The sequence below is a fragment of the Homo sapiens genome, chromosome 9, assembly GCF_000001405.40.
Source record: "Homo sapiens chromosome 9, GRCh38.p14 Primary Assembly".
In the NCBI taxonomy this organism is placed as follows: Eukaryota; Metazoa; Chordata; class Mammalia; order Primates; family Hominidae; genus Homo; species Homo sapiens.
The window spans coordinates 24,764,804-24,778,051 of record NC_000009.12 but is presented as its reverse complement, the minus strand read 5'-3'; the positions used below and the strand labels follow the sequence as shown (position 1 = coordinate 24,778,051).

The following is a 13,248-nucleotide window of genomic DNA, read 5'->3' as shown; positions in this document are numbered from 1 at the left end:
ACTGTTAAACTGCATCAACTTATTTGGGATATTTTGAAGCTGAAGCTAATGGACACATGTTGTTTTAGTGTCATTGCCTTGATAAAAGTTATTGCTAAATGTTTCTGTACTGCTTCTTTATTTGATCAAATTATTGGGACTTTTCCTTTTAGCCACCTGGAAGAATTTCCCATTGTAGGATTTTTCTGTCAATATCCAATATCAGTGCCACATCTGTCTGGCTTTATATTTGCTATTCCACAGGGGTGTCAAAAGCAATCTGAGGGCCGGCTAGCTATGAAGTCCACTGTGTGTAGTTATGAGTTCTTCATTTTCCATCCTGCCAAGTCTCTGTTTAGTTGTTTTTGCATTCTCTTATTGTTCTCCTGATATTTCCAGCTTTGTTTCAGTTTATCCCTCCATGAATCGTTTTAAAAGAGTTAGACATCAAATTAAGTGTTTTATATTTCATTGCATATAAAGTTTATCTCATTCTTTTAGCTATCTTTTCACATTTTAATTTTTATTGATATATATATTCCCAGAACTAGTTCAGCAATTTCAAACATTATTTTTAGATTTTTTAAAATTTTATTACCTTTGTATTGTTAAGAAAAATTTTTTTCAAACACTCTTTCTGTAACATATAAAGAGTGAGTTTGTAATGTGTATGTCTTTTTTATTATGTAACCTGTATTTTCCATATCTCACCACTATGGAGACAAAATTAAATTTATATTAACACTAGCAAAGATTTTTATTCAGTTCATTCTCATTCCTACTTACTCTTTAAATCATCCTCTTTTTAATAAATCTTCCATAATGTTTCAGTCTTCTTGGGTTGATTTGAGAAGAGGTCCTTTTGGCTGTCACCTGACAGCCAACATTTTTTTTTCTCTCCTACTACATTTAAGAGAATTATGCCTGGGGTGGTTACAAATGCTTATCTGGTCCAAGATAGAGAAGGCTCATATTGTTTCTGACCCTTTATTCCATGAGTAGTTAAGAATACTACTGAACCACAGTGATATTCCAGAAATAATATGATACCAACTGAAGACTCTACTAAAGTTTTCAACTTGAGGCCACTTGGGAGTAACAAAGAAATGGAAAAATCTGTGTACTTTCCCAAAGAGACCCATTCCCAGCATTATGTTTAACACTGCCTCCATTAGAATGGTGGTAAACTATCTTCCCAAAGAAGTAATACACTTATGACCCTGTCTCTAAAAGATAAATATTTTATAAAATAACTTCTACTAATTTAACTGGGAATATTTCTATTAGTGCAAACATCAAGTGAGGTTGCAAATGATAGTTTGAACCTTCATTTAATGGAGATAAGTATATATATATATATAATATCCACTAACCACTGAGCCAAAGTGCAGGCCAGTCAAATCACCAAGGCATTCAAAATAAGATCATACAAGCAGATTCATCCTAAATTGTGCATAAAATTATTCAATTTTAGGAATATTAGATACTGCTAAAGTCTCCTTTGGGAGTGAAAGTAGGCACCAAGAACCAAAACACATATGTTGGTGGTTATTTTGTTTTTATTTTTAGAATCCTGATGTTCAGCTCAATTTATTTCTTCACATTATGTAAGACCTGATTTCCCAAGGGAACAGATAGTTACTAGCATGCCAAAAAATAATATTCCATAATGAGTACTTGGTATTGTGTTTCTAAATATGAACTATATAAACAAATGTTCAGCATTTAAAGAAAAACCTGTAATTCTTTTAAAAAGTTCAGACTCTCATTTTTAAATGTAGAACAGTCTTTGTTTCCTATGTACAATAAAAGGAGGACCTTAACCTAATTGTGTAGTGGACTTCACATCCTTGAAATCATCTGATATTGTACTGACAGTGCAGAAATGGGTATTCTCTCTTCTTCAAATCTTCCTAAAAAAGACGATCATAAAATTTTCCTCTATACTGGGGCTAGAGTTGAAACTAAATGGCCGATATATATTGTTGTCCTAGTTTTATGGAAGTTTAGGCTATACAGAAAGAATGGCCAAATTACAGATTCTTAAATTGGAAGGGATAGCTTAAAGTTCCTTTGACACATGAGGAACCTGAGATTCTAAACTGCCAATGTACCTCTGTGGGGACTTTGGCAGGGCAACTTAAAGAAGTGAGTTTAAGTCTTGTCTTCATTAAATTTTATTAGATTTTGGAAGACTATATATTAATATTTGTTAGCCTCAGGTTTTATTCACATATGAAATTATGATGGTTAGTAGAAATGCTTCCCAATTATTTCTGGCCCATCTCCTCCTAGTCACATGGTAGGAATATGCTCCTCAGCCCAATTTGAAGTTACCTGAGGCCACATGACTTCCTTTAGTCAATACAGTGGGAGCATAAGTGGCACGTGCTACTTCCAAGAATAAAGTTTGACATCTAGTGAGTGCCTTGTCAGCTTTCTTTTACCCTTACTCAACAACTGTCAACATTTGGATGATGGCTATTCCATAGGCTTACCATGACTAAAAGTTTGAGAGTGAAACATTTATTGTTTTAAGATATGGAGACTAGAAGGTTGTTTCTGCAAAATAAGCTAGCTAATACTGAGTAATCCACTGTCTAACAGGATCAACATAAAGAAAAACTATATTACATCTGGTAAATTCTGGAACATCTTCTGTGCTGAAGAAATGTTAGATTAAATCTTATCATCAAAAATTAATTTTGTCAGCTGGACTCGGTGGCTCATGCCTATAATCCTAGCACCTTGAGAGGCCGAGGAAGGTGGATAACCTGAGGTCAGTAGTTCTAGACCAGCCTGGCCAACATGGTTAAACCCCATCTCTACTAAAAATACAAAATTAGCTGGGCATGGTGACACGCTCCTGTAATCCCAGCTACCCCAGAGGGTGAGGTATGAGAATCGCTTGAACCTGGGAGGCAGAGGTTGTAATGAGCCGAGATCACACCACTGCACTCCAGCCTTGGTGACAAAAGCAAAACTCCTTCTCCAATAAAAAAAGAAAAAGAAATTTGAAATTTGTATTTCCAGATGGCCACCATGCCTATATAGCAATATTTGCCAATATTCCCTGTTGTGGGAAGTCAGGGACCCCGAACAGAGGGACTGGCTGAAGCCATGGCAGAAGAACATAAATTGTGAAGATTTCATGGACATTTATCAGTTCCCCAAATTAATACTTTTATAATTTCTTATGCCTGTCTTTACTGCAGTCTCTGAACATACATTGTGAAGATTTCATGGACATTTATCACTTCCCGAATCAATACTCTTATAATTTCCTATGCCTGTCTTTAGTCTCTTAATTCCGTAATCTCCGTAAGCTGAGGATGTATGTTGCCTCAGAACCCTGTGATGATTGTGTTATATGCACAAATTGTTTGTAAAGCATGTGTGTTTGAACAATTTGAAATCTGGGCACCTTGAAAAGAACAGGATAATAGTGATTTTCAGGGAACAAGGGAGATAACCATAAGGTCTGACTGCCTGCGGGGCCAGGCAGAACAGAGTCATATTTCTCTTACAGAAAGCGAATAGGAGAAATAACGCTGAATTATTTTCTCAGCAAGGAATAGCACTGGGAAAGGAATGCATTCCCAGTGGGGAGGTCTCTAAAATGGCCGCTCTGGGAGTGTCTGTCTCATGCAGTCAAAGATAAGGGATGAAACATGCCCTGGTCTCCTGCAGCACCCTCAGGCTTGCTAGGACTAGGAAATTCCAGCCTGGTGAATTGTAGTCAGACCGGTTTTCTGCTCTCGAACCCTGTTTCCTGTTAAGATGTTTATCAAGACAATACGTGCCCAGTGGGACATGGAACCTCATCAGTAATTCTAATTTTGCCCTGGCCTTGTGATCTCGCTCTGCCCTTCTGCCCTTGTAATCTTTTATTGCCCCTTGAAACGTGATCTCTGTGATTTACTCCCTGTTCGTACCCCCCTCCCCTTTTGAAATCCCTAATACAAACTTGCTGGTTTTGTGGATCAGGGGGCATCATAGAACCTGCCAACATGTGATGTCACCCCCGGAGGACCAGCTGTAAAATTTCTCTCTTTTTACTCTTTCTTTTTTTTTCTCAGATGGGCCAACACTTAGGGAAAATAGAAAAGAACCTATGTTGAAATACTGGGGGCTGGTTCCCCCAGTAATTCCCAGTATAAGTATACTGCCTCTTCTTTAGGGACATTTTGATGTAATTTAAGTTAGGGCTCAAATAAGCAATTCAATATGCAACAAATTTTAAAACCCTATTGCTTGTTTCTGTGTTTCAAGCATAGGCGCTATGAAAATTGAGTGACAAAATTATTTTCTCCCTAGATTTTCAGATCTAAATATGCAACTACACACTCATCATCTAAATGCAGATGCCCTGTAAGAACTTCAACCACAATGTCCAGAAAAACACATAGATTTTCCTTTAGTGGGACAACATAGCTCTCACTCATGTAACATAAATTTTAATTAAAAAACAACTCTCAATTTCTTCAGCTAGAAACTATAGCAAAGTGATGTTGAGTTGACCTCCCTAATATCTCCAAAATTGGTACAATTTTTCTCTCTTCACAACCATTATCCAATATACATCCCCTGCATTTCTCAATTTAATTATCTCAAAATTAAAAGGTCTATCTCTAATCATGCCCATTATTAACCCTATCTATAAAATATAACCTGTGTGAGGTTTTAAAAATGCAAATGTAATTATCTCACTGTATTTTCCTTGGGTAGCGTCTGAACTCCCTAATAGAATTTACATACTGTTATAAACTGAATGTTTGTGTCCATCCCCCAATTCATATGTTGAATCCTGACTCCCCATTTTTACGGTATTAGGTGGTAGAGCTTTTAGGAGGCAATTAGGTTTAGATAAGGTGGTAAGATTGGAGTCTTCATAATAAAATTAGAGGAAAAGACAGCAGAACTGTGTCTCTCTTTTATGTGAGGACACAGCAACAAGTTACTATGTGAAAGCCAAGAGGAGTGCCCTTACCAGGAATCAAATCTGTCAAAACCTTCATCTTGACTTCCCAGTCTCCAAAACTTTGAGAAATAAATGTCTTTTAAGTGGCACAGTCTATGGTATGATGTTATAGCAGACTGAGCTAAGATAGGTATTTTATCATGTATGATTTGACTTCAAGTTATCTTTCCAGTCTACTACCTCACCACTATCCATGGTACTATATCAACTTGGCTAAGATGGAACTACATTCCCAGTATCCACTTCCCACCCAAACACAGGTCAATAACTTTCATAGACTTCTCCACTAGCTCTACTTTGTGGACACACTGGCAGCTTGACACACCCTGCTTCATAAAGGTTGGTTAGTAACATTTTTTTCTGATTTTCCAACTCATCTTTTCTTACTCCTTCAATTTTTTCACAATTGCATAATGTCTCGTTTAATAAATCCCTCATTCCTTTATATTCATAATAGTTCTTTCCCTAATTGCACAGGGTCTTATATGGTCATTGGAAGTCATTCCAGGGCAATAAAACTCTGAGTATAGAAATGGGAGATTTATTCCTTGTTCTGATTAGATTTAAAGACATTAATGACTCCATTGCCTGTAGAAATAGGAACATCGGTAGCCAATGGCATGCGATGGCAAAACAATTACTTAAGATGGCAAAACAATTACTTAAGTGTTACCTGTAGTCAATTTCAATCAAATATATATCAAGGGCAACACTGTAGTGACCATGTAGTTGCCACTATCAAACTTTATATTGGAAACAATGAGTATTAAGAGGTTGGTTGTTTCTGATAGCACTGAAGGACTTGGAGAAAGAAAATGATGACTTCAGCTACTGGAATTCTGAGCTCAAGTTTTTAGTAGAAAAACAATTAGCTTTACGACTTATCTAAAAAATCGTCTATTTTCTGTATTATCAGGGAAGATATATCTAGAAACCAAGGTCAAAGACAAATCGTGACAAGGTTGAATTATAATACAAATTGAATTTGCAACTCCACAGTGTCTATTATATTAAAGTATCGAGTGAAAACAAATGAGAACCTGAAATTCAGGAAGGATATATATGGGCAGATTTCAAGTGAACAACGTATTGAACCCCTAAATTCGGCCAAATTTCTTTGCCAGCAGGAACAGTCCATTCTCCTTTCATGAAAGAATCTGGGCTCCTTTTGACTAATGAAATTGTAATGGCCTTCACAAGATAATACTTTTCACGAAAATGATGATACATGTTAGGACCTAACCCCAACACTACTCATGACTTAAACACCTACAGATAGACTCAAGTCCTGGCAGATTACAGAGGTTGAGTTCCAAAGAGGAAGTAATATAGGAGGAAGTATCAAGTACATGAAAAGTCTAATGAAATTTTTCCAATTTGTATTAGAAAACTGGCTCCTAACAATATTGGATCAAGGTGAAAGAAACAGTTTTTAGATCATATTGAATTTACTTATTTCAATGCTGTAAACAAAGTTTTCGAAATTCAGTATTCCAACAAATTTAAGTTAGCTTGTGTGTCTGGAAATGGTTCTGAGCATTTTGTCAGTTGCTGGCAGAAAGCTGGGCCCAAAGGTGGCCTACACTAAATAAGACTGAGGTATATGACTTTGGGATATGGATATTTAAAGAGGTAATGAGGTCTGAATGCTAGATTTGGTATGTAAGACTTGCTCACTAACTTTCTAACTCATATCACTCAAAGCTTGAGAGACATATTGATGAGAGGAGTGTGGCATCTTTGCCAAGGCTGCAGTGGCTTTCTCTGTAGGCAGGATTAACAGTAAGACTGCTATATTCAGAATGGGCTCCCTGAGTTCAATGGGGATGATGGGATCCCAGAGTGGCATGGCCAAATGGTGGCACTTATCTTATAGAGAAATTTCTAGGGATAAAGTGGTTGGGTATGTTGAAATATTCTTTTCAGCATGAAGGGCAAGTTGATGCATTTGTACCATCCTACTATTGTGAAAAAATGCAGAATATATATTGGCTTCATTAAATCATGGAGACACGTAGTATCTCATTTGGTTATGCTCTTTTGACCCACCCAGTAACTTGAAAGGCTTCCAGCTTTGAATGGAGCCCAAAACAAGAGACAGCTCTGAAGCAAGTCCATGCTGCCATACAACTTGTTCTACCACATGGCCAGAAGATTTCATAGTTCTTCAAATGTTTATGGTAGGTTGAAATACTATGTGGAGTCTTTTGCAATCCTCTGTAGGTAAGCCACAGAAATTTAGGAATTGAAGAAAAACTGTCTCATTCTCTGTAGAAAATACTGTTCTTTTGAGAAACTGCTTCTGGCTTACTACTGCACACTAGTAGAACTGGAATGTTTGACTGCAAGCCACAAACTATAATGTGACCTGAACTCTTCACTAAGGCTTGGGTGTTATCTGAACATCCCCCCAACTCCCAACCAGCCAACAACAAGGCATAAATTTGGGCATGCAGATGAGTATTCTAATATGTTAGAATATTAGACATCAGGCTCAAACTAGCCCTGAAGGCACAAATAAATTACAGGAGTCAATGGATCAGATTTCCATGGCACCTACCCCCTCTATATGGCCTCTTTTCTCTCAACTTCTACCTATGGCCTCATGGAGAGCTTCTTACATCTAGTTGATTAAAAAAGATGTATTTTTGGCTCAGGTTTATAGATAAAACTGCTTAATATGTCGGAATCCTGGGCACGTGCAGCACAACAGCCTCAGTCTGGGGTAGCCCAGGAGTATAATAAAGAAAATGCTCCCAAAAGGCAGAACTTTGAAGAGAGTACCTAGCTGTTCATTTTTATCTAAAAGGAGAAATTACCAAAGGCACAGATCTACAATGATTTATGGCTGGTGGTTAAGGTTAGGCTGGATATTCAGGAATTTGGAATGAACATTATTGGAAAATTGGTGACAAAGAGGTCTTGCATTGCCCACACAGATTACTAACACAGCCTTCTAAGTGGTCTTCCTATTTCTAGTTTTGCCCTTTTCTAATCCATTCCCTAAAATGTAGCCTGAGGGAGCTTTTTAAATGTCTATCTGATTATTTCACTTCCCTGCTTGGAATCCTAAAAAGGCTATTTCTCTTTGATAAAATGCAAACTCTTAACATAGCTTACATATTGTAGACATTTATTACCTGACTCTAGTTTCTCTCTCTAGTCTATGTCCCATTATTCCCGAAGAAGAAAACTATATTTTAATCTCTATGTATTCATGTTATCCTTCTTCCTTGAATTCTCTTCACATACACCATCTTTAAATCACTTAAACAAAAGTTTAGACATTATTGTCTCTGGAAAAATTTTTTGACCCATCCTCTCCCCATCTTCAGATAGAAGATCCTATTACATATAGTTGTACTTGGCCATATTTCTAGGTAAAACTTTCAGGAACGGCTCATTCCTAAACCCAGAACCATTTAAAGTTTATTCATTTTACAGATTCCAGGCTTAATTCTTCAGGCAATAGAGAAGAAGGAAAATATGTGTTCCTACAGTTACTTCTTTTTGTTTTTTCCTGCCTGGGATTAACTTCTTTCAAGGATAATTCAGAATAGTATTGATAATTTCTTTCAGTGGAAACTTCATTTTAAAGTAAGACTCCATCATTTATTTCTAACAAGGAAATAATTAAGTAGGGTCCATCACTGAACATGTCACAAAATTAGATAAACCTTGGTTATCCATAGTCACCTCATTACACATGTATACTACCTTTATAAGTACATCGTGCATGTAAATTTATATTATAGATGTCATAAAATTTCAAAGCTGAAATGAATATCAAAAGGCACCCAGGTCTACTCTAGTCTCATTGAAATGCTTTCCAAGTGGTTATGCATTTATTCTTTAACATCTGCAACCACTTACAATGCACAATCTCACTAAGAGAATTTAATCCAACATAAGATATTTTTAACATACAGGTATCAGCGATTTATGAATTCAGAATTTTTCTCCCTGTAGTTTTAACCTAGTACTGTTCATTAAAGGCCATATGACAAAGTTTAATTCTTCTTAAAATTAATAGTCCTTTCAGTATTTAAAGTCTGTGATTGAGATTCCCAAAAAATGATTGAGATAATTTGGATGTTCATTCTCTTCAAATCTCATGTTGACATGTGAACCCGAGTGTTGGAGGTGGGCATAGTGGAGGGTGTTTGGGTCCTGACATTGGATCTTTCATGAACTATTTCGTTCTGTGCTGGCAGTAATCAGGGAGTTCTCATTCTAATAGTTCCCAGGAAACCTGATTGTTAAAAAGAGCCCAGCACCTTTGTTTTCCCTCTTGCTTCTCTCTCACCGTGTGATCTGCACACACCAGCTCCTTTCTCCTTCTGTCATGAGTGGAAGCTTCCTGAGGCTTTCACCTGAAGTGGGTCCCAGCATCATGCTTTGTATACAGCCTACAAGACTGTGAGCCAAAGAAATTACCCAACTGAAGGTATTCTTTTACAGCAACATAGACTAAGACAATCATAACTTAAATTCTATATGTCTTCATATTACATACAAAAAAAATTCTAGGTGTGTGTGAGAGACAGAAAAAGAGAGAATACAGGAGAGTTGGGATATTTATTTGAAAGAGAAGATTAAAATGTTTATTTCTGAAAAGAACAGTTTAAGGACTATTTGTTTTAATCATCACAAAGACACTATGGCCTATATAAAGATGCAAAAAATTTCCTTAAGAAGTTAAATAAATAGCTACATGTAAACCTTGTATAAGAAACCACTGCCTTATGTAGAAACAGGAAAAAAAATCATTATCAACTGAACAAATTTATTTACATAATAAATTTTTTTTCACTGTTTTTGGTTTTCTTTTATAATTTCCCTCACAAGCAATTACTATTAAACATCCTTAACATGCAACACTAGTAAATTTTAGAAAAGCAAAATCCAGCAGCCTTTGGATTATTTCACCTATCATTTTTGGATTTTGTTTGGGCAACTAAGGCAAACAGATGCTTCTTTGCATCATGTGAAGACTCAAGCAGATTCATAGCTCAGTGCAAATGGACCTGCATATTCATCATACTCTCCAGTTATAAATGGCAAAGGCAACAGTGGCCATGTTGATCAGCACTAGGCATCTGGTACTCATGATTATTGTGAGGTTCTGAAAACGTTCTGGTTGTCCTTGAGTCTAGAAAAATAAAAGATGGTGAAAACAGACACAAATAACCCACAAACAAAAAAAAAATGGTAAATTTTAATACCAGCATCCATATTTATAGTAATTTTATTCCACATACATCCATTACAGGTGACATAAATTAATACATTTACTAAGCTAATGTGTAACTGTTAATGTATTTTGGCACTATTATTATAAATCAATGTTCTTCTATTACAGGATCAACCAACAGAGCCTCGTTATGATATATAAGAATTGCTGTGCTATTGATTGCAATATCAAATGGTGATGTCTAAAGAGCAATCAATGAAGTTAACCATTACCAAAACATACTTTTGTCATCAGAATCAGACAGTGAGACTGTAAAGATTGTACAACTTTTGTACATTATAACTAGGCAAGGAAGAAAAAATTGATACCATTGTTGTTTTTAGTAGGAGACCCATACAACACCAAGAAGTCTCTGCTTTTCCACTGATTGGTGTATATAGCAAAGATATCAGATCGATTATGTATCTGAACAAGAAACTGAATATTCCTCATACCCCCACTATTCTAGACACTGAAATGACAATAAGCATTTGCAATTCAGTCTTTCAGAGAGAAGAAAATATAAGCCCTCATTGTATTAGAATGTTATACATTATCAATTTCTCTGCGTTTGATAGTGAAATAGAAAGAGGTAAGATCATTTCTTTGTGATTAATTCAACTAAAGACAGCGTAGAAACATAGAATGGGTGAGCAGCCCTCTAAGCTGAGGTCAGCCCTTTACAGAGATACTGAGGCCTGATCATGATGTCAATAGGCCAGCAGCTCTGTTTTGTCTCCATCCACACTCATTTTTGGTAACTAACTTAACCACCTAATTCTGAGCTCATCCCCAAGCTCTATTCATCCTCATGTTATCAGTACCCTAAAGATATTCATTGTCATTAAATTGCATAATACTATGGAAAACTATAAGTTATTGCATATGCTAAACACTGCGTTAACATGATTTATATAATCCTCACAAAATCTTTGTGACGTAAGTTTCATTAGCCCATTTTCCGCAGGAGGAAATAGAAGATCATAGATGTCAAATAACTTAATAAAGATCTCACAAATTCTAAACAGCAGGTCCTGGATCTAAATATGGAACTATATGACTCCCAGTTTCCATGATTTATCCACTAGAGATCAAAGCCAGCAATGCAACTTAAGAGTTTTACTGGGCCCAAAATATACGTTTTATACCATGAGTTAGCAAGTTTTTCTATGAAAGGAAAGATACTAAATATTTTTAACTTTTGGGGGCCAGATGGTCTTTGTTACAACCACTGAAACTTCCATTATAGAATGAAAGCAGCTACAAGAAAATGAGCATAGATGTGTTCCAATAAAACTTTATCTTTAAAAAAAACAAGGCTAGATTTCACCCTTGGGATGTAGTTTGCTACATCTCATCTCACACCATTTCATGTAATGATCAGCTTTATAAACAATCAATGGACTAAAAATTATTTCGTTCATTAGGATATTAATTCAGAATATTGTATAACATGGTTCAGCATCATGGCTCTACATGAAGTTCACAATGAATTCAATGCCATTTGAAAAACTAGTTCTGAAACTGAGGTCAGAAACCTACACTCTCAGCTTGGATAGGAGCATAGGGCAAAGGCCATCCTCAGTGTATCTGAGGGTAGCCTGGGAACCACAGTCAGGCTTTCTATTAGTATAGTCATGCTTTCTTATACATTTTGCATGGTATATTGAAATCAAACTTCTATGTTTTCAAATTTCAATATTTTAGTAACATGCCAGAATTGACTTTGTGCTACAAAAAAAATAGAGAGATACATATATAATACATATATGGATTGATAGCAGACATATCACATGTGACTACTGAACTATAAACTGGATAAAAAATTGATTTGAAAATTTTTAGCAATGGTTATTTTTGTCAAATAAAAGAGACATTTTCATTTGATGACATTGTTCAGAAGGTTTGCCTTCAGAGCTGAAGTATTTTGTGGAAGAAACAAGTTAACAGGCAAAGCAAGTGTTCAATTGAAAGGGAACTGACAGAATAGGGGGCTGGCAAGATGGCTGAATAGGAACATCTCTGGTCTGCATCTCACAGAGAGACTGACACAGAAGGCAGGTGATTTCTGGATTTCCAACTGAGGTACCTGGTTCATCTCATTGGGACTAGTTGGACAGTGGGTGCAACCAACAGAGGGTGAGCCAAAGCAGGGTGGGGTGTCACCTCACCCAGGAAGCACAAGGGGTTGGGGGATCTCCCTCCCCCAGCCAAGGGAAGCCATGAGAGACTGTACCGGGAGGAATGGTGCACTCTGGCTCAGATACTGTGCATCTCCCACAGGCTTCACAACCGGCAGACCAGGACATTCCCTCCGGTGCCTATGCCACCAGGGCCCTGGGTTTCAAGCACAAAACAGGGCAGCCATTTGGGCAGACACAAAGCTAGCTGCCGGAGTTTTGTTTTCTTTTCATACCCCAATGGCACCTGGAACACCAGCGAGAAAGAACTGTTCACTCCCCTGGACAGGGGGCTGAAGCCAGGAAGTCAAGTGGTCTGGCTCAGCAGTTTCCTTCCTCACAGAGCCCAGCAAGCTAAGATCCACTGGCTTGAAATTCTCACTGCTAGCACAGCAGTCTGAGGTCGACCTGGGATGCTAGAGCTTGGTGGGGGGAGAGGCATCTGCCACTGCTGAGGATTGAGTAGGCAGTTTTACCCTCACAGTGTAAACAAAGCCACCAGGAAGTTCAAACTGGGCAGGGCCCACCGCAACTCAGCAAGGCCTCTGTGGCCAGTCTGCCTCTCTAGATTACTCCTCTTTGGGAAGAGCATCTCTGAAAAAAAAGGTAGCAGCTCCAGCCAGAGGCTTATATATAAAAGCCTCATCTCCCTGGGACAGAGCACCTGGGGGAAGGGGTGGTTGTAGGCACATCTTCAGCAGACTTAAATGTCCCTGCCTGGCATCTCTGAAGAGAGCAGCAGTTCTCCTAGCACAGTGTTTGAGCTTGATAAGGGACACACTGCCTCCTCAAGTGTGTCCCTGACCCCTGTGTATCTTGACTTGGAGACACCACCCAGTAGGGGTCAACAGACACCTCACAGGGGAGAGCTCTGG

At 37.5% G+C, this 13,248-nt stretch overlaps 1 annotated feature.

Annotated features, from left to right (window-relative positions):
* Nucleotides 3,527-4,028: an enhancer, noted in NCBI's record as "NANOG hESC enhancer chr9:24774022-24774523 (GRCh37/hg19 assembly coordinates)". NCBI's record gives its function as "activates a minimal SCP1, AML or CMV promoter by ChIP-STARR-seq in primed H9 embryonic stem cells {active_cell/tissue: H9 hESC(primed)}" and the evidence as "EXISTENCE:reporter gene assay evidence [ECO:0000049][PMID:30033119]".